Source organism: Homo sapiens, chromosome 11 (genome assembly GCF_000001405.40).
Source record: "Homo sapiens chromosome 11, GRCh38.p14 Primary Assembly".
NCBI classification, from domain to species: Eukaryota; Metazoa; Chordata; class Mammalia; order Primates; family Hominidae; genus Homo; species Homo sapiens.
Genome location: NC_000011.10, coordinates 106,974,430 through 106,999,671, shown reverse-complemented (window position 1 = coordinate 106,999,671; position 25,242 = coordinate 106,974,430). Strand labels below are relative to the sequence as shown.

General features: G+C 38.3%; 1 protein-coding gene across 2 annotated transcripts in view; it reads left to right on the top strand.

Moving 5' to 3' along the window:
• The window catches only part of GUCY1A2 (guanylate cyclase 1 soluble subunit alpha 2), a 344,458-nt gene that overhangs the window by 18,805 nt on the left and 300,411 nt on the right, over nt 1-25,242 (top strand). For both annotated transcript variants that reach the window (NM_000855.3, NM_001256424.2), the window contains exons 2-3: nt 13,541-13,602; nt 20,932-21,053. In NM_000855.3, the coding sequence (NP_000846.1) occupies nt 13,541-13,602; nt 20,932-21,053 (184 nt within the window). The remainder of the gene's footprint in view (nt 1-13,540; nt 13,603-20,931; nt 21,054-25,242) is intronic.

The following is a 25,242-nucleotide window of genomic DNA, read 5'->3' as shown; positions in this document are numbered from 1 at the left end:
ATACTAGTAAGTCACTTTCAAGTATGAGTCAACGAAATATTACCAATTGTATAACTATAAAATATGAATCCGCTAATAAGGATCTACAAATAAGATCAAACCAACACATTTTGGCCATTAGATAAGGTATTCAGCTACTTTGTGTGATTATAAATCCACAAATCTTATAAACCATGTAAAGATGTTACATAACATCAAGAAAACATCTTAAAAACCTAAAATAACAAAGTTTATTATGGTTTTGCTCTTCCAGAGTGACTAATAGAAATGAATCATGGGCATATTAAAGTCAAGCCTATCAGTTTCTGCCTTGGTATTTTATACTAGTTCAACCTCTGATATATTATGGATTAAGGTTACGAAAATGTTAAGTGGGGGCATTTACTTTTAGTAATCCTTATTCTCTCTCTCTGTCTTTATTCCTGTATCAGAACCTCATGCCACAAAAATCTGCTGTAAGACTCTCCCAGATAAATTGTACTATGTACATTTTAAATACCTAATGTAAAATTATTAATTCAAAAGAACCTCTCTTGATTGTAAGGACCTGCATAGGAGTGGAAAGTAACCTTTTTGGAGGAACATGGGGTTGTGGGTGGGATGGAGATAGCTCTCCTGGTGCTCCTAAAATCAAATCTAGTGTCTGGCCCCACAAGACTCTGCCACGTAGTGATGACTATATAGCAGTGATGCTTCTGGGATCTCTCAGTCAGCCATCTGGAGATCTCCTTTGCGACGGTAAATTATTTAACGTTCTTGGTCTGTAGTGATAACATGGATACATTGGGAAGTAAAAACAAAATAATAATATATAGCATTTTTGATGATGTGGCATTATACTTTTAAATTTTGGATTATAAACTGTTTTTTTTTTAATGAACTATTACTGCTACTTTAGGGCTCATTTTAAATAAGGTTCAGGACCAAATGGGGCTGATGTTGTCCTTATGTTTTATAATGCTTAGAGATTCCAGAGATTTTGCTATTTATAGGAATAATTTATGGATTAATATGTGTTGTGGTAATAATGCATGCCCCATACTGGGTTTGCCTTGGAAATTCCAGTTAAGAGTCGTTATGCATGCAAGGAAGTTAAAATGTTTTTAGAAGCTGGAAAATAGTAAGTGATATCCAATCAGTACCTTCTTTTCAAGCATCATAACATTAAAATTCCGGTGTGAATATATGCACATGCTTACTTATATAACTTGTGCAGGACAACGTTTGACAGATATTTGTAAAGCTGAATGGTAGAGCAAGATATTTAAACTGATGTAATATCTAGGAAGAATTTGAAAAAACATGATGCCATGTCAGAAACATTTCCTCTCCTCTGTAAGCAGCTGTTCCCAATATCCCTTTCTTATTCACATCCTTTCACCCTCTCTCTCTCCTTTTCCAAGTTACTAATTTTCCATTAGGTAATGAGACAAACAGATGGCCAGAAATACTACATAGTTTACAGTTTGGTTCTCAAGTGAGCAAGTTTTGATGTCTTTTGCTGGAGGTCTTCGAAAATGTCCCCCACAACAATTCACATCATGATGGCCATTTTGTGATAAACAGCTTATTTTGATTAGTTTTTAGAGTAAGCAGATTTGAAGAGAATTTTGAAAAGCCAGGACTTTGCCCAACTATACTGTTTTTTTTAACACCTAAAGATACAAGGCATTAGTGACATCACTTTATTTTTTTCTTTTCAGTTTTCCCCACCTCAGGACTGTGAGAGATTGATGTGCGGATACATACTTTCCCTACAGAAAAGACAGTAGCAATAAGTGACATCTCTTTAGCGTTTCTAAAACATGTTTTTCACATACATTATCCCACTTAGATTCACCCAGGAAGTATATGAGGTAGGCAGGACATGGATTCTTGATAGGCCCAATGTAAGGGTGAAGGAACCAAGGCCCAAAGTTGGTAACCACCGACATTTTAGTGCCCGGTTCTCCTATTGCAAACCCTAAGCTCTTTCTACCATGCTATTATTTCTCAGCATAGCCACGAAGAGGTCTAACCTTAATATATAGTCTTGCTCGGGTGGGGGGGGGGGGTTCCCTATCTTGCTTCCCCTATGGCTCCTACTTTGTTGACTTGTTAAGGAGTGGTGGTAGCGATTTTTGTGGGCCTTGTACCTCTTACCAGTTGTTTAGTTCCAGACTGTGTGATGAGTTTACACAACATAGGCCTGTGTTAGAAATGATAAAGGGCTCTTTCTTCCTCAGGATTCTGCCTCTAGGCTGACCTAGTTTGCCTGTCCGCTGTCATGTTTGTATGCTCTGGGCTTCTGTGGGTGAGGCAGCTAGGAGCAAAGTGACAAAAGCCACTGATACTGCCAACAGCTTAGTTTATGCTATAGAGTGCGGGAAGAAGAATGACATTACCTGACATTTGATTTCTGAATATGAAGGAAGTCTTGATTATCAGATAAATAGTTACATGCATAAGGGTATATATTTCTCTACCTATATTGTATATAAACTATGCATACCCATACATCCATGTATCTTGGCATAAATAATTTATTAGAAGGAATGAGGAAATAATATAATATGTAATAGAGTGATAGCTAGTTTAAAAAATGTGCTCAGATAGTTTAGAGTTAAACTAAAAAAGACTTTTTATGTTATGCAGTATTAATCTTCTGCCTGCATGAATTTTTTTTCCAGAAAAAGTGATTATTCTGTATCTCTAACTTAGGAATCTAGTGCATCATAGACACTGATGATGTGGCAGTCATTATCTGCCAAACATCTGCCTAGTAAGCACGTTTTATATCCGTTTGGATCATCAGATTATAGTCAACACTAGATCCAATTATATTCAGACCCTTACTGAGTTTTTTCTTTCAAGAGAAGTGGAAGCAATGGAGCTAGGCAGGACCCACCCTGAGTAGTATGTTGATGATTTCTACATGTCTCAGCATCTGAGACTTTTAAAGTCCAAGGACGTGTTCTTGTCAGTGTCCTGAAATAATCAGTCTCTTAGCCACTGACTGGCTAAACAAAATGCCCATGGCACTTTGGTTGACATGTAAATGATGATTTACTTATTTACAAGGAGAAGTAACTGTGAAATGTGTCTTATTACTCAAAATCTTAATGCTCAGCACATTTCTTACCTGATCAGACTATCTGAGGAACCAAGTCATAATTAGAAGTTTGCTTTAATCCATTTAGAGTCAAAGCAAAATTAATTTCATGCTAAGTTCTTTAATCCAGTTTATAGAGCTTTCCAGCTGTAGGGAAGGCCTTGCCAGTGAGAACTGATGTTCAAGGGCATTCATAAGACTCATTTTTAGTTAAGATGGTTGAATCATTTTTCTTACTTTAGGGATAATCTTTCTCACTGTGACAGAGGGCCCATATGCTCCTAAACAGTATTAGATATAATGTTTCATAAACAATTCCCCTCCCCTTCTTTTTCCTATGGGTTGCCATCTCTAATTTTACCACTTCCTCCATATCCTCCCTTTGTTGGTCACCTTTAGATATGTTGCTTCTATTGCTCAATGGCCTACTTTGCCTGGAGTGAAACCCAGGCATGCGACTGGAGCAAATTCTCTGCCACTGGTTTACAAATTACTGTTCGAGTTAGTGCATTTAGGGTTGACAGCATATCTCTTTGTTTTATGTGTTAATTTTATAATTTAACTGTCAGGCAGAAATATTACTTCTTTATTCTCAGACTCTTCTTGGGAAATACCCCACTGAAACTCCCAAGTACTGGGCACAATAGAGAATTCTTTGGAAATACTCAAATTGAAGCCACAAAGGTGTCTGAAAGACTAGAAATGATTTTCTCATGAGATCCATTCCTATCCAGTAGGGTACCTATGAGCTGAAATGTCACTAATTAGCTTTGCAGCATTTACTAATTGGCATCTTTGGGCTGTAAGGCATGGCTGGCAACAGTCCTAGATGTTAGACATGGTCAGTTTAGTTCAATTTAGCAATTTTTTGACTACTTCATAATCAAGAGATTTATACATTGAGTTTAATCATCACATAACACATATTTGTGTAATACTTTATAGTTTTATTTCATTTTGATCTTTCAACAGCCCTGAGAAAAGGTTATTCAGGAATTTTCCCATTTTATGAAAATTAAATTGAGGTTCAGAAAAATAAATCCTGTATCCCAAATCACACAGGCTAGCCAGGAGTTAATCCCTTTCAACTATAATCTTTTCTGCTGTTGGTGAAGATAGAACAATGTATTTCAGCTTAGAAGGGCAGGTTAAGGGGTTGGAGATTTTGGAGGGAGTCAGACCTAGATTGGATTGTGACTCAGACACTTACTACCTAAGTGACTTTGGGCAAGTTTTTTAAACTTCTCTGGGTTTCATTTTTTCACATTCATAAAACCGGGGTAATACTTCTGACTCTCTTGTAAGATTATTTTGAACATCAAATTACTTGATGCATGTGACACGTAGGGTCCAGTGTTGCACTCAGCACAAAGCTGGTTGCTATTACAGTGAATAACCCAGAAAGCTTCCCCATTTTACACTTTGAAGACTGAATCAGCCCTATGCCATCTGTGAAGTTTTGTTTGGTTTTGGGCTTTAAGATGGAAGCCACGTCTACCAAAAGGCTTTTGCTATACCATGATCCATTTTCCTGAGAAAATGTCTAGGAGCAGTGCCATCTTGTCTTATCATCGGTATTTTCATTCACACTGAACCAAATTGGCCGTGATGGTGACCAGTGAAGCAAGTATTAATATCTCCTAAAATCTCACTATTAAGAAGTTAATGAGCATACTGGACCTATTTAAGTAATAGTGACACTGTTTACAATTTTGGGAAAACAACAATCTCATTTTCATTCCATTAAAGACAAAAGGAAATAAGGAATTTCAGTTAGATACATGGTAAGTATTTCCTAATGGTCACCAAAGTGAAATAAATTACCAATGGAGGATGCAGCTTGTGACAGAAAGAGCACAGGAGACCCACGACCTGGTCTTGATGGTGTTCCTTTCCAGTTCTGTAGCTGAGGCAAAACACTTTAACCTCTCTGATGCTCAGTTTTTTCATTCGTGAAATGTGGATAATTAAATCTGAGACTCGTGAGATTGTTGTGAGTATCTAATAGGATGGAAAAAAAAGTGATTTGTAAAAACCATAATGTGTTATGCAAACCGAAGGTGGTGGTGTTACTCTCTGGAGTTCTTTGAAAACATCAGACATCCTTGGATGACTTAAGTGTGTTCTTGCCTGAAGGCAGAAGAAAGACTAAATAACTCATACTTCAGGGAGTGTATGTTTTCAGCTCAAATTAGTATTGATGGTATTAGGTTTTGTATCAAATTGAAATTCAATGGCTATTTTTGGAAAGGCATTAAAGTGATGTAACAAAGGGGAAAATACTGGGAAAGCAAACATGCATTTTGTATAGGAAGACTTAATTACAATATTGATTATATGTTAAGTATAATCAATTATAACCAATAATAGTGATGATAACCACTGTGGTTTGCTATTAGAGCATACTTCTAATAAGGCAAAGGTTATTAGTTTGAATCCCCAGATGGGTCAATTAGCATAATGTCAACATTTACCCCAAGCTCTAATGAGGTCATGCAAATATATACCTGTGTTCACAAGGAGAATAAAATGAAGACTGGAAAAAATGGCCCAGATGTTAAACCAGTATGGATAGAAAAACCCTAATTTTAGTGCATCTCTAGCTTTTTATTTTTTCCTTTAGCACCCCTAGGATTTTTGCATTTTGTAACTAATTATCTGAACTTCTAGTTTTGCTTAGCAAATTAGTGTTGTAGGTCACTTGAAATGGTATTCCTACCTTCCTATAAAGCTGCTATCCTTCTAAAAAGTGTGGTTATGATTACCCAGAGAAGGTTGTTTAACCGCCAGTATGTTCCAACTCTGTATTTACGAGTGCTTAAACTTTGCAGTGCTGTACTTGAAGATGACCCTGAGAACTACATACTTCTTACATATGTTTTTCGGATGGGAAAATTGAGGCTTTTTTTTCCCCCGAGGACTTTCAGGTGAAGAGATATTGGCTAATTTTATTTTTTTTAAAAAAAGGTCAGTAGCACAGCTGGATTTGTAATATAGAGGTCCTGACTCAAAGTTCTATATTTAATTTGCAGTCTTTTTTTTATTTTTTATTTTTTGGCTTATATGTAGTAAGTTTAGTCAGAGGCTGGGAAAGTAAACATTATGTCTGGATATCTAGCAAGATTGATGACTACACAATTACCTCTCCTTCAGAAGTAAACTGGTTGTTTGAAATGACATTATTTGGATTAGTTTTAGTGATAAAGTCAGTTATATAATTTGATCCATTGGTGTCTACAGGCCTACCTACAAAGAAAGCATATCTAAGATTATAATTCTGATTAAGTTGTGGAATTTGACATAGGGTATCCTAAGAAACAATGTGTTCTCATGTTATGGAGAAGGTGGTGATCTCCACTTTGTGACCTGGAGGATGATGAGAAGGGTTCCTTGTCCCCACAATTTATCTTTCTCTGACAAGCCTGTTTACTAAAATTAAACTCTTAAAGATTCCAACCATCTTCTATATTGTAGAGAAGCTCATTCACACCATCATTTACCTTAGCAAGGATTCAGGCTTGAGGTTTTGAGGGAATGGAGTTAGGATTCCTCTTGAGCATCATCTTAGAACAAGGTAGTAAGGGGATTTGGAATTTTGATGAGGGAAAGAAAGGGAATATGCAAAGAATGGCTTTTGGAAAGTTTAGATTATGGTGGTGAGGATCTGGCCTAACAGAAAGGAACACAAAGACGCCGGGTGCTCAGAGGGTGGGGAAAGGTGAGCTAGAGGATGACAGAAAGCTAAGAAAGGGGAAGTGGAATTATTTAAAATAAAATTTAATTCCTGATTTTGCTTATAGGTTTTCTTGTTGATATGGCTTTGATTTAAAGAATGTTGTGTGTTCTCAAGAAAAAAATCAATTGTTTGAATACACGTGATTTTGTAATTTTATGTAACATTAAAAAACTACTTACTTATTGAAGACAGTTTCCTAAGAGATGACATGTTCTGGCCGGGCGTGGTGGCTCATGCCTGTAATCCCAGCACTTTGGGAGGCTGAGGTGGGCAGATCACGAGGTCAGGAGATCGAGACCATCCTGGCCAACATGGTGAAACCCCGTCTGTACTAAAAATACAAAAAAATTAGCCGGGCATGGAGGCGGGTGCCTGTAGTCCCAGCTACTTGGGAGACTGAGGCAGGAGAATCGCTTGAACCCGGGAGGTGGAGGTTGCAGTGAGCTGAGATCTCACCACTGCACTCCAGCCTGGGGGACAGAGCGAGACTCGGTATCAAAAAAAAAAAAAAAAAAAAAAGACATATTCTTTTTGTACAAGAGGGTTTCTTTACTTTTCGTCACGTGAGGGTGAACAGATTACCTAATCTCTCTAAATTTTGTTCTTTTTTAGTGATAATAACACCAGTCTGATTATTTCACTTGATTGGTGCAAGGATCAATTAGGATAATATATATTAAAAATACAAACTGTAAAGTGCTCAACCAAATAAAAAACATTAAATATTGTGTGCAGTAAAGGTTGAAGGTTACATGCTTAGATTTGGGAGCCATATTACCTACCTGGGTTTCAATCCTGGCTTTGTCCCTTTTTATCTGTGTGACACAGGGCAACTTAAAGTTTGTGTCTCAGTATTCTCCTTCATAAACTGTGAAAAATAATAACACCTACCTCATGTGGTGATGTGAAAATCAAAGAAGTTCATATACATAGAGGGCTTAAAGCAGTGCCTGGCGTAAAACACGGTAGTCATTCTAGCTGTTGTATTTTTATGTGCATGTTAGCACAAAACTAAATGCTGAATTATTTGCATGGGAGTGGGTTACTGTGAGATTAAAGAAAAAAATCTCGTATTTATGCTTCAAGCAGCATAGCTCTTTGCTTATCTAACAAATTCATATTTGATTATAAGCCATTAGTGACAGTTAATGAAAGGGACTCTGTTTGAATTAAGCGGTTATGAGTATCCATCTCAGAAGCTTACTTCTCTTGATACTTGAATTAAGAGCCTATTCTCATTAATGCCGACTTATTCAGATAAAGTTCACAGTGTTTTTGTCTTTTTCATCATATTTATATCTTAAGTGAAAGGTTTCAACCGTAACGACACATTGGAAGCAACTGGGTCCCCCCGCACCAATTCAACTGGAAAATCTGGGGGTGGCACGTAGACCTTGGTATTTTTTATAAAGATCCCCAAGTGATTTTAATGTGAGGCAGAATTTAAAACCATTGGCTTAGAGCAGTAGTGATTAAATATATACCTACATTGTTTAGTTTCTGACCTTGATAGATATATTTTGTCATATTTAAATAAACAAAATAATGGCCAGGCACAGTGGCTCACGCCTGTAATCCCAGCGCATTGAGAAGCTGAGGTGGGTGGATCACTTAAGGTCAGGAGTTTGAGACCTGGGCAACATAGTGAAATCCCCATCTCTACTAGAAATACAAAAAAAGAAAAAAAAAAAGCCGGGCATGGTGGCACGCACCTGTAATCCCAGCTCCTCAGTAGGCTGAGGTATTAGAACTGCTTGATCCTGGGAGGCAGAGGTTGCAGTGAGCTGAGATTGCACCATTGCACTCCAGCTTGGGCGACAGAGCAAGAGTCCATCTCAAAAAAATAAAATAATATGGCTCTTTATGGATGTTTCTTTAAAGGCAGACCTATTGTTTCTATTAAGTTTGTGTCTTGTGAGTATATGTCACTAAGCAGAAATGAGAAGTTTGATTGTTTTTAAATTATGTGTGTGGCTTTTTTTGGCATGATGAAGTGCTGTGTGTATCAAATAAGAATATAGACTTTCAGAATGTGAAAGGTAAGAGGGAGCCTCAAAGGCATCTAGTGCAAAAGGATACACTTTGAAGTCAGTTCTGTTTTGGAGTGATTTATTTACTTACTGGGTGTGTAATCTTGTGACACTTGCTTAACCTCCCTGAGCTGCAGCTTCTTCATCTCTGTAAAATTGAGACATACATGTATTTTGTGCGATGACAACTGTGTTTCACGCTGCGCGTGCGCGCACACACACACACACAGAGAGAGAGAGACACATCTTTACTCTCTGCCTCCTGCCTGATCCCCGCACCATCTGGTGCAGATATCCAGAGCAGGGACTGTGTGGGAGCCTCAGCGGGACTGTCTGAGCCTGCAGGGCCAGCTGCTGGGGACTGCTTCCTCCCACTCTTCAGGGATCATTTCTCTGGCTCTGTTGGGACTATTTCGTGGTTGGCTGTTCGGATCTCATGACCTTTCTTGAGCATAACATTTAGTCTGTGGGGTTCAGTCACTGTTGGTCAAGTATAGTGAAGCTGTTAGTGAGACTAGAGATGAAGATGGCTTTTTGCCGCCATATGATGGAGGCTTTTGGGTACCCTCTCTTGGTACCCACTGTTTGAACCACAGAAAATATGTGTGCAGGACACTGATGGCTGCTTCCTCTTTCCAGCTGGCTTCCTCTCCATTGCTAGTTTGTGTTGATTTGGGACACTAGGAGGCCACTATCTATGTCTTAGTTTGGGGGAAGGAGAGAAAAATTACAGACCTCTTGACTTTCTTTTTATGATAGTAGGAACAGTAGATTTTCTCCTTTCCCACCCTCGTCTCTTTGATCCTCCAGCATAGGGCTATAAAATTAGTAGGCCACTCAGCAATCCTGTTGCACATTCTTTGTATACAAGGAAGGAAGTTCATGGTTGTTTCTTATTAGCTGTAAAGTAAATGCCTGGGGTCTTGACCTTAGCTATGATGTTTCAGTGTCGTTCCTACTCACTGGCAGGCCTGGCTTTAGTACTATCCTCAGCCTTAATATTGAGAATTCTGCTTGTATCACTGTCTCTCTCAACTGATCTTAATGTTTCATTGGAAATATTTATAAATCTGGCTGCCATTTTTCTGAATTTTCCTCTGTTCACTGGAATTGGTGTCAACTTCTCATAATGAGAAGTATCGGTAGCTTTATTGATTTTTTTTCGATGATGAAGATCTTGAAACATTACACCTGTGGGATGAGTTTTCTAATTGAAGTCTGTGTTCCTACATTAGATTATGAGACTCCTGAGGGTAGGAACCATGTTTTTCAGCTTAGCATAGCCATATCTCTCATTTATTACACACCGACTGTGTGTCAGAGATGTTGCTCTAATTATTTCAGTGCATTCCCATAAAAATAAGGTACACATATGTAACAAACCTGCACATTCTGTACTTGTATCCCAGAACTTAAAGTATAATAATAAAAAAATTAAAAAGATCATTTAACTAAAAAAAAAATAAGGTACGCATAAGGAATCTTGTTTCAGAAGAGCTTAAGTAAATTGCCCAAGGTCATCTAGCTAGTGAGTCATAGAACTTGCTTTTGAATTCAGTTTGACTTTAAAACCTCTTTTCTAAATCATCTTTCCAAACTCCTTGCAGAAAAGGACAGATGCACATAAGAGGACTGGGATCTTGGCCTGTAGAATGTTGGATGGTTCTCTTAAGTAGGAGCCAGTTATGGAGCTGCATTCTTAAAGAAGAGGATAGACAGTCTGCATGTTTTCAAAGCCCTTGTTGTTCCCACTGATCTACATTGACTTGCATCACTGGCATACATGGACACTTAATAAAAGTTTGTTGAGAGCTGGACCCTACCACCCCAGAGGCAGAAATCATCTGATGGAAGGCTTTGGCCCGTTTGTGGGTCTTCACTTCATGCTTTTTACTCAGGTCAGAGAGGCTGAGATTATGTGAATTTGTCTCTCACTGATCAGGCCATGGGTTGAGGCCTTCAGACACACTCTGAAAACTGGAATGAATCCATGGTGATAAGATATTCGGAGGGGCCAGGGCTGTGTTGAAGTCAGTCTTGGATTGCTGAAGTTAGGAGATGCTGTGCAGTCAGCCTCTATGCTTGTGGTTTAGGCTATTAGAATGTGCCTGCCCACTTTGGCAAGAAATAGGAAGTGCATAAATGCTTTATCAACCTGAAGCTTTGTTGGATGTGCTCAGAGAACATTTCTTTTTAATGTATGTGGAAACTATAAATTTAACTCCTGCTGGGAGTGGAAGTAATTGCTTCACACAAGAAAAAAGCTAGATCTTTAAAAGGCTTAACTCCTTTCACAAATATGTGCTTTTTAATGACTGGGAAATTCCTGGTACAGAAAAAAAAATGTCCTTTTGTACAAATGAGGTCATTCTGGTCTTAACTGGCCCTGTACACTCTAGTTCCTGCTTTCTGTTCCATGTTTTATGACCAGAGGTTATTGGAAGGATCATCCCTCTGTGGATATCCACTGCCTTTTCAGTTTGTTGCCAAGGGGAAAGTTATCTTAGCTCAGGAACTGCCAAGCCAGTGCAAGAGGCCCAGATCCAAGGGGTACTGAGCTAGTGACTGATGATGATTGGATTTAGATTGGTCATGGACTAGGTTGTTAAAGCATGCTTTCTGTGTGCACTAGGATCACTATGTCTGATTCATTCTCTTTAGATTTCTTAACCATTCCATTGCCTCTTCGTTCAGGAATGATTTTTCTTTCCTAGGTGCATACCATTTACTCTGCTTTGAGTCTGTTTGGATGAGTAGAAACATTTGTGCCAGTCTGAGGCCTGGTATAAGTGAAAAGCAGCTGCTGAAAGAAGTTGCTCTGTACCTCTCCTTTGAACACTTGGAAGCTGATTCCTCCTAAAATTAATTTGTGAATTGGTTTGGCTAATGTGCAGTAGGTATCTGAGGCCTTAGATTTGTGTGGTGAAAGGGTTCTCCTACGTGGTAATGTAGAGTAGATCTCAGTAGATGCCCTTGATTCAATTTAAGCTCACTTTCCTCTAACTTTAACCATTGCCTACCAAGGAGGATGTTAAAGATTCGAAGAGTGTTAGGTAGGGAGAGTGTTACATCTGTCTTGGATGTTTTTATGAAGAGGTGGACATGGAGTGGGTCTAAGTGAGATTTGACATAGACCTCTGGTGTCTTTTTTTTTTTTTTTTTGAGGCAGAGTCTCACTCAGTCACCCAGAATGGAGTGCAGTGGGGGTGATCTTGGCTCACTGCAACCTCTGCCTCCTGGGTTCAAGCAATTCTTATGCCTCAGCCTCCCAGGCAGCTGGGACTACAGGCATGTACCACCATGCTCGCCTAATTTTTGGTACTTTTAGTAGAGACAGGGTTTCACCAATTTGGCAAGGATGGTCTTGAACTCCTGACCTCAAGTGATCCACGTGCCTCGGCCTCCCAAAGTGCTGGGATTACAGGCGTGAGCCAGAGTGCCCAGCTCCTGGGGTCTCCTTTAGACGATATATTTTTAAGACAGCCACTTTGAAGGATTAGCAATTGGAAATTGATACTTATTAACTGCTTCTTAGGTATCAGCACTATGCTAGACCCTTTCTGCAGATTGCCTTTTTAGAGGTAGAAGGCTACCATGCTGCCTCACATCTTGAAGGGTTTGTATTACATTCGTATTCCCCAAGAATTCATCCTTGGCTGTAATGGATCAATGCTTTGATGAGGCCTTGAGTGCTTTTTTTCTGCTTAATTGACTACAGGTTTTTGTTATTTAAAACATTCTCTCTCTTGCTACTGAGAACTTGGTTCTTCTTATCATAACTTCCTAATAACATCTAGGTTCTAGGATCTTGGTGTCCCATTCATGGCTCTCTAAGTCTGAAACTCCAAGTTCAGTCTCTGTTGCTTAATTTCTTGATCTGGGATTAAGAACCTCTGTCTTAAGCCATCGTGGAGAAGAGATTATGAAATGTGGTCATGAGCTGCTTAGATATTTGTTGCAGACTCCATATTTTGCCTGAAGCACTTGTGGCCCATCCAGTATGCTCCAGAAAGAACCTTTGCTTGAATTCTCTTGGGACATGGAGGAAGTCAGGCTGACTGCTGTGACAGTCATGGCTGTGGGGCCCTGGATCACCTGCTTCCCATCCTACTCTGCCTTTTTGTTAGTCTCCTCAAAGAACGGGGAAAAAAATATCATTTAAGTTTAAAAATATCTTTTATTATAAAGTTGACTCTTTTAACTCAATTTATCACTGCTTGCTAGACCATCCTTGAAAACCTTGTTAAAATGTAGAAGAAAATATGAAGACGTGCCATTTGATTTCAGTTGCTCATTACCTCATGCAGATTACATATGCTGGAAAGGAAAAACCGTGACTCATGTTTCTGCAGGGCACCCTCCCTGCTATCCCCAGGGCCTGGGTTTATTGTAGGCAGCCAATGTGTATTTTATTGAACTTAATAGCTGTTACAAAAGAATTGAAGAAAACATTCCTAGGAAATACTATCATAATTGAAATTGGGAAGTTCTGGGTAATTGCCGAGTGCCTCATATTAGTTTCTGTGGGGAAAATACATGGCATGATGCAAAATGGGTTAATACTGTAGAAGGAAAACTCTCAAGAGATAAATCAGAAGCTTCACCTGTCTGCCTACGATACTCACAGTGGGAATGGTACTGATTTGCTGATAATATGTTTTTATTATTATTATTATTCTGTAGCCTCAGACGATACAGCAGACTCTCAAGAGGACACTGCAGTATTATGAACATCAAGTTATTGGGTAAGTAAAAATTGATTTCGGTTATTATTGGGGACAAATTAAAGGTAATTACTCAAACATAGCTGTTGAGTATGTGATTTTCTGCTACCCAGGTCAACCTGATTTTATAGTGGCTATGTTTTCATAGTGTGGGGCGTGAAGGCTTATTGGGGGAGTCCCTTGGAGTGATTTCTTTTGGCTTATTTGTGCTTAATTCTTTTAAATGAAATTACTTTCTGGTATTGCTTTTCTTTTTTTTCTCAGTCTTCTCATGTTCTTACTCTTTTATTCCGATGTTGAATCATATAATTATGCCTTACTAATGTGGTGAGCTTTATTGGTACCAACCCAGATGCTTTGAATGGGATTTTAGAATCCTTAAGTAGAGTTTGATAAGAATCACTACAGCCTTAACACAGTTCAGTGAGAGGAATTAGTTTACTTAGAGTCACGTGCTACATATTTTTCTTTATTATCATCTATTTCTTGAAGTGGTTGTGATGTGGTGTAAAGTAAGAAGACTTGATGTCAAAAGACAGGACTTCAAGGCCTCACTAGCAAATAGATCTTTTACTAAGTAACTTTATCTCTTTTTTAAACTGTGATGATAATAATAACTAAATCAAGGATTAGATGTAATGATTAAATGAGGTAATTTCAATGAAAGCATTTTGTAAACAGAGAGCTCCAAATGAGTATGAGGTACACCTCTAATTGGCTGTGGCAGAAAGCAGCTGGCAAGTATGAAAGCCTAAATTTACCTACTCATGCAATCTAGCTTTTAGATTAAATTTATTGACATTAGAGGCAATGTATATATTTTAATTTACCTTGTTAGTATTCTTTATATGGTACAGTGATTTATCTTTGTAAGATTTTAAGAACTTTTGAGAAGTCAAGATTCAAACTGTGGTACTTCTTGAACTGCTCTCAGGATCATTTAACATTTATGGCTAATAGCCATTGCCATAGGGATCAATAACATAATTTTGATTATTACGGTATAGTGTGATTTTTTTTTCACAGAACAGAAGGGAAGAAATCTTAATGGAAAAATAATCTCGGTACCTAGTACAATGCCGTATACTTTAAGTGCTTGATGATTATGTTAATTGTCATTTAAAAGGGAATTGCTTTGAAACTTTGTCATACTTATCCTCAAGAGTGTAGTTCTAGGAAAAACATATTATTTAAACTCATGAGATGGCTTTTAGTTTGAGGCCATTAGTGATTTAAAATGGTTTATCCTAATGGAGATAAAGAATGTCAAATTAATCTTTCTCCACATATCCTGAAATAAAACTTAATCACTCTCATTGAATTTGCCGCTTTCCAAGTATGGTGTTTGGATTAAATTAGTTAGTATACTTAAAATAGTTCCTCGTATGTGGTGAGCACTACATACCTGTTTGCTTTTATGTTTATCGTTATTATTAATATTTTTATGACAATATCCATCATCAAAGTCTAATTTTCTGGGATTATGAATGCTCTTTCGCTTTCGAAATAAAATAACTGATGAAATATTCTCATTTTTGAACTAAAGTATACCTTCAAGGCAAATTGGAGTGGGACTCTTATAATGTGATCAAAATAGATAACCAAACTATATTGCTATAATCAGAAAAGTTTTTTCTCCATTGATAGAATGGAGGGAGTTCCCTTTTATCCAGCTGGCTGCCTCAGCCCTCCCCTTCTACCTATGTAGACATGGTCTGTGGTGCTTCTTTGTCTATTGCATGAATGGTCTTTTCCTAGTTCTGTTTATTGCATACACAGTATAAAGAAAACAGAGAGTTTGACTCCAGTATAAAGAGGGGTCTTGATGTCTGGCATGATTCAAATAGGCCTATTAACATATTTTTGCTTGGGTGTTGGCTGATTTCTTGGACTTGAAGTACCTTTGCTCACTGACTTTATTTGCATTCATGCTGATGCAGACAAAGGGGGCCTGTTGGCAGCAATTTTGTCACGTTTGCCTTTCTTGACTGTATTCCCCTTTCTTGCCTTTTTTCTCATTGATGACTTTCCTGTCCAACTTCCTCTTTTGCCTTTTATTCTCCATCTTTCTACTTTCTATTTCTCTTTTCACAATCAAGAAAGCAGAGCAGCTAATATCACTCACCCTCGAACTAAAAAGTGTTTACAGCTGTATGTTGTTCCTCTTAAGAAAATACAATTTAAGGCTTCCTATCTCTAATTGTGAAAAAGAATGTGTTTCTTACAGTTAAAGGGATTTTGAAATCCCTGTATTGAGAATTGAGAGTAAGTGCCGACAAGCATAATTTTAGTTATTTTTTGGCAGGTGAGGGTGGGAAGGAGATGCTTTTCCTAATCTCTGAAATGGGGCTTGCTTAAAGCTGTCTTGAAATAACTCAGCATTTAAATACCTTGTGTTGAGGTGTTGAAGCAGAACAGGTAACAGAGTATGAGCTAGCCCTTCTCTTTTTAATTTCTTAATTATCCTTCAACCACTAACCTTCTTTTCCTTTCCTTGAAAACTCTGCCCTTAATCTGTTTTATTTATCAGAGCTCTAGGATTGTACGGTTCTGCTCCTTGGATTCTTATACTGGTTGCCCATAGAAACTCTCTGAGGCTTTTTGTGTCTGCCAAGACTGAGACTTCAACGCGGAGAGCAGCTGTTTCGAAGGGTCACAGACAGAAGGACTGGGAGGGAGTAGCTGATGGGGCTTCCTGTTAGGGAGTAAGATAGCCTCTCTGTACTTTATCCACTTTATCTTTAAACATTATTCTGTTCCTTAATTTATCCATTCACTTGTTCATTTATTTATTCATAGAGATCATTCAAGTTGGGGAAATGAGTGCTAAAATAATTTATTCATGCAATGTGATAAATCTTCTCTTCATCTCCACTATCGTCATCATCTCTCACCAAGACATTCTGGTCTAATTTTCTGGTTTCTACTTTTGTCCGCCAATATGTATTTTCACCACAGCAAAGCAATTAAAAAATTACATCATGCCACCTTCTTATGTGAAACCAATGGTTCTCAAATGTTAATGTGCATCAGAATCACCTGCCAGCCTTGTTAAAACACGTATTACTGGGCCCTGCTCCCAGAGGTTCTGATTTCCTAGGTTCAGATAGGGCTCAAGAAACTGGCATTTCTGTCAAGTTCCCAAGTAATGCTGATGCTGCTTGTCCAGGGATCACACTTTGAACCCCCTGCTTTAAACTATATGATGGCTTATTATGGTAGAATAAAGTCTAAATTCTTTCTGTGATCTGGCCTCTGCCTACCTCTGTAATTTCATCCCTTTCCACTTTCCTTTTTTTCACTCCATTTCAACCTTCTGTTGGTTTCTCAACTTACCAACCTTAGCTTCAGGGCCTTTGTATGTATCGTTTCATTCTTATGCAATGCTCTTTCCCCAGATGTTTGCACGGCTTATTCTTTATATACATATAGGTCTCTGTTCAAATGTCTTCTCTACAGGAAAGCCTGCCCTGATCACCCCGTCTAAAGTATCTCTCCATCACCTACCTCAAACTCCAATCGTGTCAGGTTGACTTTGTGGAAAATTTTGATTACTATATAAACTCTACATATTCATGCTCACTTGGAGAGCTTCTTGTTCCCATAGCACTGTCTTTCCTCCACCTAGAATGAGCAAGGGGGCATTGAATGTGCATCTTTATGTTAGTTGCTCTTTAACTCAAACTTCTAGGGAATGGACTAACTTTCTGGGTGGTGTGGGGTGGAAAGATTAGTGAGGAGCAGAAGAAGTCAGTAGCAGACAGGCAGGATTCACTTTAGAAATTAAAAGCAACTGAGGATAGAGGAATGTCTGTTTATAATGGTACTTTTTTTCTGATATAATTCTTGCCATAGTGCCCTTTCTTCTCTTTGTATGTTGTGGAAAGATTGTGTTTTGTAAGTAGACATATGAAACTTACTAGACATATAGTCAGGTTTTGCTATGAATAATCTTGGGAAGGTTACTTAAAATACCTGAGCCTCAGTTTTCTCATTTTAAAAATGGGAATAATAACAGGGTTGTGGTGAAGTTTAAATGAAATCTTAATGATAATAATGTATGAAGTCATATAATCACATAAAGTAGTTAGCATAGTACCTGGTACACAAAGATAATCAATAAATGAATTGAATTATTATTACTACTGTTAGTAAATGACTCTTTTGCAATTCAACTTTTGTGGATTGTCTTCAGTTTATCCTCCTGCTGCAACCTTTTCCTGTCTTCCTTGGGCCTTTTAAAGTTTAGAATCTGTTGTTTAGCATCTGGTGGTGAACATGCCCAGTTCGTGTTCTAACTGCAGTTTTCTTCTCACAGAGAACATCTTTTTCGTTGATTTTTTTTTTTTTGACTGAAATTTCTGTCTCTAGAGGGCTTGACCCAACTGCTCTCACTCATATTTCTACTACATGATTCCTACTGGTCTATGGCTCACAAAAATGGATTGCCATGGCAGGGTAGACGAAGCACAGATTTCTTCAGTGAACTACTATGAGAGATGTGATAATCTTTCTGAGATATAGTGTTCACTCACTATATATTTTAAACAATAAAGAATAAAGAAATATGTATTCAGAACCATGCCAGTAATTTTATCTTTTTTTTTTTTTTTGCCAGAATAAGCATTGCTGTGTTAATATCATGGATAGGACTGTTGCCAAACTCATATTAGTCTGGGACACCAATTCTTATAGTCATCTAAAATTAAATTGTATTGCTCCAATTATTAATGTGGGCCCTATGTTTGTTTTATACAGCCAACCTTCTGTTCTCTTTTTCTTTTGACAATTGAGGAGAAATTAAGCCAGAATAATTTCAGTAGAACACTAGAGTGAAATTAAGAATGGGTGAATTCTGATTACTCTGAGAAACAAACTTCAAGGATATTACTTAAGCTTTCATGATCAGATTTTGTGGCTTATTTTAATCTAAAAATGATCTAGCTTCTTTTTTATATATTTACATAGAAAAAAACTGTATCTTTTTGAACATAAACAAATTAGACAAAAGCTAATATCTCTTGATTGCTTACTATGTTTGAGGAGATATGCTGGGCACTTTCCATCTTTTATTTAATCCTAAAAATATTGCATAAGAGTACTGTATTAAGCACATTTTACAGATGAGGAAATTGAGGTTGAGAGAAAAAAGTACTTTTTTAAGGTCATTCTGATAAAAATGGTGGAGGTTGAATTAAAAATAACCCTGTGGGGTTGCCTGTGTTTAACATCTGTGCTCCCTGTTCCACCTCTTGAGTGACTCCTGCATTCTGGAAACTGTAGTAAGCATTTTGCCTAACTGGTTTATTGGAGTCTGATCTCAATGAGGTGTACAAACATGAAACCTTTTTATTTTTCCCTCCACTCACATCAAGCATGCTAGGATACATCCCCTTCGATATTAGCTTAGACAGATTGCTCTGTTTTCCAAGTATTTCCAAGAATTATGAAGTTCACTCTAGACCAATTTAAATTTTTACTCTCATATCTAGTCTGACTCTAATGTTGCTTTCTCTGTCTGGGTCAGGACTTGGCCTAAGAGACTTGGAATACAGGACAGAGTGTATGATGTGGGTTTTCACTCCTCTTCTCCAGGCCATTCTTTTCTGTGTCCCTTTCTCTTCGGATGTATTGGGTGAGGCATGAATGAAATGGAAAATGGAAAATTTCATTGGGGTTGTAGCAGTCCTCTCTTGGCTGTCATGCCCTCACTAGGGTGCATGTATGAGTTCCGCCCTGACACTTTTGGATGCCCCAGCTCCTGCACCTAAGGACTTCACTCTCGTGGTCTTGCTAGTGGGAGCCCTGTCCCTGGCTGGCAGCCTCTAGATTGGAAGAGCACCATGACAACCAGACAACTCAAGCTTGCCTCTCTCTTCCCTAACCCATGGGAAATTCACATATTTGCCCTGCCAAACGGTGGGCCTTTAGGTTGCTCCCAATTTTGCTCTATTTCTTTTCCTTGTCGATAACTTTCTCCAGAGTCTTCTTCCTCTTATCAGTCAGACAGGGGAGTATGATCAGGAAATCCACTGCCTCTGCAGATGTTCACTGGGGAATGAGATGGGTAATCCCCAATCTCTACCAGCTGTGGACCCCCCTCACCAACTGGACTTCTGCAGGGAACACTCCCCTTTTCTCCTTTTCTAGGAGGGGAGGGGGAAAAGTACCATAGCACTCTCTTCCTAGGCCAACTCCTCACTCTTCTGAAGATTTTATTTTGAAGTCTTTCTGTTCTTTTGCTTCTGTAAGCTGGTGGTAGAGTGACAGGGGCAGTGGCTGTTTAGTCTCCTCTTAAGTCCTGAAGAAGAGCTCTGGTCTTCTTGGCTACCCCTTTGGAATGTGGGAGGATTTGGCCTTTAATGTCCTCAGCTTTTTTGTCTTAGCTCTCATTCAGAGGCAACTCAAAAAGTCCCAGCCAATATCCAGTTACAGGCATTGTGTTATTTAGTCCTCACAAGAACTCTAGAAGGTACCTCCATTTTATGAGAGAGGAAATTTAGACTAACAGAGATTAGGTTACTTGCTCAAGATCTCACAGATAGAAAATGGTAAGACCATGACTCAAATTCTGCCAGGTGTATGTTATTTATACACCATACTGCTATCTTCTTCTTTTTTTTTTTTTTTTTTTTTGAGACGGAGTCTCACTCTGTCACCCAGGCTGGAGTGCAGTGGCGCAGTCTCGGCTCACTGCAAGCTCCGCCTCCTGGGTTCACACCATTCTTCTGCCTCAGCCTCCAGAGTAGCTGGGACTACAGGCGCCTGCCACCACTTCCGGCTAATTTTTTGTATTTTTAGTAGAGACGGGGTTTCACCGTGTTAGCCAGGATGGTCTTGATCTCCTGAACTCGTGATCTGCCCGCCTGGGCCTCCCAAAGTGCTAGGATTACAGGCGTGAGCCACCGCACCCGGCCTATACTGCTATCTTCTTGACTGTGACAAAAGTTATGGTGTGTTTACTTTCAACACCATTGAATGCCAGGACACCAAATTAACATTGTTAACTTTTCCTTTTCTAGGCAGCTTCCTTATAGAAACAGATCACTAGCCTTGATGAAGTGCTCTCAGAGTGATACATTAGCTGTACAAAGCTGATATATTTTTTGTTCTCTTCAATTTTTTTCACACATAGCTTTCTTGTTAACAGTTGCCTCCAGTTCCAGGTCTACACTGCAAATGCTGATGTGAATGGTGGGTTATGCCAGAATTATGTCTCAAAGCTTCACTTATTTTAAAATGTGACTATGATGAAAGCATAGACTGCGTGTGCTTGTGCGTGTGTATATGAGTTGCATTCGCAGATGCTTTCAAAAATTTCTCCTTATGCTAATTTTGTTTTCTTCTTAGTTACAGGGATGCAGAAAAGAATTTCCACAATATCTCTAACAGATGCTCCTATGCAGACCACTCCAACAAAGAAGAAATTGAAGATGTCTCAGGAATTCTTCAGTGTACTGCTAATATACTCGGTATATTAACTATATATATTTATATGGATGAGAGAGAATGAAAGAGAGGGAAAGTCGAGGTGGAAGTGTTTCATGTTCTACCAAAGAGAGATGTGGAGAATATGGCAAGTTGAGACCCAGACCTTGTGAAGTGATGGGTGTTAACTCTCCTGAAGATGTTTGAGTGGAAATTGCTTGCATGCCACTTACTTAGAGATGGAAAAACATCAAAACAAAAATACTTAAATTCCAGGGAAACAATTTCAGATATTCACATGTGAATAGTATTAGCTCTGTATAATCCATATTTCTTTGGCCCTTATTCTCAGCTAAAGTTGTAGGATCTTTTTTTCCTCTCAGTCATACTCTATTACTTCTGGGAGGTCCTGGTTGGGGCAGAAGGGTGGCCCACAGGTACTGTTAACACTCTACAATCCAATGTTCCTTTCTGTGGCCTTGTCAGTGAAGCAGGTCATCTCCTGAGGTGTCTGTGCCCTACTTGGGGTTAGGGGAGTGTCCATCTTAAAGATATTTGTACTTATGACAGAGGGGCTGTTTTTGGATGCTCCAACATGGCTAAAAGGTACTGTTGTAAATTGCAGCCAATTATACAGCCGTAAGCTACCATAACTGAGCTGTACTACCATACTACCTGACGTTCTTGGTGTGTGAGAGCTACATTGTATTCCATGCAATGTATTCTAAAAGAAATATTTTTTTTCCTAATGTCTTACAGATGTTTCTAGTGAGAAATTTCTCTTTAAGTTCTTTTTGGAATTCTTTTTTCTTTATGACCCAGATAGGAATCCATGGGGTGCTGGAGGGTGCTAGTGGGGAATAATAAATCTTAGTGAGCGACTCCACACAGAATGCAGAATCTCTTTTGGGGTCAGGTGATGGACAATAGGGCAAACCAGTTTGCATGTTCTTTCTTTTCCTTTATAGTATTTTCCCTGGAGGCATCTGAGTTTCTCCTACAAACAGTTTCCAGGTTACCCCAACCCAAGGGTCTATCAGATTTTCTAAACATGTCAGACTTCTAGAGGTAGACTTCTTTTACATTCAAGCTGGGAATCCAGCTGCCGGTTGGCTACATTTTCATCCTAGGTAACTTTTGTAAACACAAAATTGTATAATAAGAAAATGTATACCTTTTGTGAGGGGATGCATATAGATGTTAGTGGTTTGTCTATAACAGCATGCAGGACAGTGATGGGTAGTGAAAAGGAGGCCAAAGATTCATCACCTTAATCTTAGAACAACTGCAGGGATGTCACAATACCCAAGTAAATCTTATGACTGGAGAAAATAAGGGATGGGATTAAAAGAGACATTACCCAAGAGTTGTTTAAAGTTTTCTGATTTTATATTTTCAAGGACTCTCCTTTCAGTAACATACATTTCTCTTAATGCATTGTGATTTCAAGGGGTGGGGTGATGATGCCACACTAAAAGGGATGTATCAGAATCTCAGTGAAGGGATGTTTAATATTTTGAGAAGTTGCTTCTTATCCAGTTTCTAAACACTTTCCTGACCCTCACGTCTTTCTTCTTTATGCTCCCTATTTTTAGAATCACTGAGTTAGAGGGAATAGGAGGTGTTCAAAGATAATGATTATATTGGGGTGCTAAAGGCAGTTGGACTGTGGCTTGTAAATGAGTGTGCACAATTCCCACGGAGAGAAACCCTGGGTCAATTTGAAATGGTTTTCAGGGGACACTGTTGGCCCAGCACAGCTTAGTTGCCCTTCGAAGGTTGCCCTAAGATGTTGGATAAGTAGTGAGTGAGAAGAACAGCAGGCAGTGTGCTGCCTGATGACATTAGGGTGAGTGCAGTGTTTATAACTTAGAAGGTGATCATGTAACAGGGTTTAGATTTCCATGAATAGTAACTTTTTCTACAAAAGAGATACTAGGTCTGATTATTTTCTTCCTCTAAGTAATGATAGGTTGTTTTCAAGATTTAAAGCACAATCTTGTAAAGTTTAAATTTCTGAAGATTAACATTAACATTAACATTTAATGCCTGCCACCTGTCAACCAGATGCTGGCACAGAGGTAGCTGTTCTCCTTGAATAATGTCTTTTTAGAACTCTTGATATATTGACTCTCTGAGGACAGCGTTAGCGGTCATATTCAATAAAAGCTTTGTTTTTAAGAAGTCACTGAGCTATGATTAATCTTGGCTTGTTTAGATTTTTATCTTTTTTTAAAGTTGTGTTTAAATTCTCTTCTGTAATCATATATGAGAATGAAAGAATTGGTCAGCTTACTGGACAGAAAAGCATGACATAAATTGTTTTTTGGGAGGTTGTTGGGGGGTGGCACAGGAAAACAACATTTCAACCAAGATAAGAAAAATTTTGATGCCTGGGAACCTTTTTTTTTGGATGGCAGAAGGCAGTGTTCCAACTCCATGGTTTATATTTATCACCTTTGGGGAGTGTGATTAGAATATTGGTGGACTGAGATTGGCAAACATATATTTCTCTTACCTTCTTAACCTATTACAGGGTTGTATTAGAGTCTGGAAATGTGTTCGTTTATTCACTTATTTGTATATTATTTATACTTCATCATCAAAAAAGACTTGAAGTCATAGATCACAAGATATGATCATAGTAGCAATTTTTCTCCTTCCAAAATGAGCATTTCTACCTACTTAGTATAAACAACTCCTCTAGAAAGTTTGGTCATTTACTGGCTCTTCAGGTTGAAGTTTGCATTTAGAGGGTGGCATGGAATAAAAACGAGGACCTGAGGAGAGGGAGAAAGTGAGTTGGAGAAGACCTGTTATGCCTCTGTCACTCATTTGTTCTCTCACCTCTTCCATGGGACTCCCTGGGAGCACATGTTGTGCCCTACAAGGTGTTTCATGCCTCTGGAGTAATGGGAAAGAACTGCTTCCAGATATCAAAATGTTTGATGTCTGTTTCCCTTTCGTTGGTTTAGAAACTGGTTGTTTCTATTTTCTGTCTCATCATTTACAAATTACGGATATTGATTATGGTCTGTTTCTTGCCATCTCTTCACCATATTTTGGTGCTTTGCCAATTGCTGTGATAATGGAGGCTGGGCCCTTGAAACTCTGGCCATGCAAAGAAAGATAGTAGACAGTGCCCTCCCTGCTGGAGGACTTTAGAGTTAAATTTATTGCTTTATTTGGTACATAATGTCTTTTGCATACCAAAATGATCTAATTTTAGTTGTCCAAAAAATAGAAAATCTTTTCTAGCCCTAATCTGCAAAGCCTATTTTTAGCTCAAATTAAATAGTAGAAATGTGTTTATGCTCTATGAGGCAACATTTAGTATTTTCTTGGAAATTGTAATGGTTGAATGGTATGATGAAGCATGTATTAAAGCATGTGTACCATGTTTTCTGCTGAAATGTTGCTACTTGTTCTTATGGATTGGGTTTACATAGTGTTGTAGGCAGGGAGACAAAGTGAGTAGGAGAGTTAAGGGAGAAGGATGATAAATTGCATAGTCTCCTTTGTCATAATAAGTTAAATATAAATGAGGTTATGACTATTTCAGTTTTAACAAGTTCTAATACTATTAAGGGTGTTGTGGGTGTTTCAGTTGTTGTAGAGCTTTAAGGAGCTACCAGATGGGGGAGTTGGGGTGTAGGAAAAAGACTTCCCACAGTAGTTTAGAGAACAAATAGAAATGAGAGCTCTAGGTTAATTCATTTACTGAGGAGTTATAGCATATAAAGATTTGCAGGTTTAGGAAGCATCAGTTATTTGCTAAGTATTGCTCAAAGTATAGTTTTATACTGCCCTTGCTAAGTGCATTTCCTCTCAAAATAGTCAGGAAGTGCATAGTTCTGAAAAGATATTCATTGATGTTTTCTCTGTTTTAAAGGTCTCTCTCTGTCAGAGTGTTGCTTTATCTTCTCTAAAAATGTAACACATTTAAGTCAGAATGGGAGCAATGCTTATCATGGGATTATTTTATTGGGAGAGGGCTAGTAAGGAGGATAGAGGAAATGACCTTTGGGGCTTATTCCTCACAATATTTTCTTAGTATCAGGGATCCTGAAATACTGTGAAATCATTTATAAGATGCCACTGATTCCACAATCTTTAGCTGGTATGGAACTCTCTGTTTTTTTATAAGTAATGATTTTTTGCTTATATGTCAACTTGTATATACTTTTTTGTTTCACTGTGATTTGTAATGTGTATTTAGGAGCCTTTTAATTA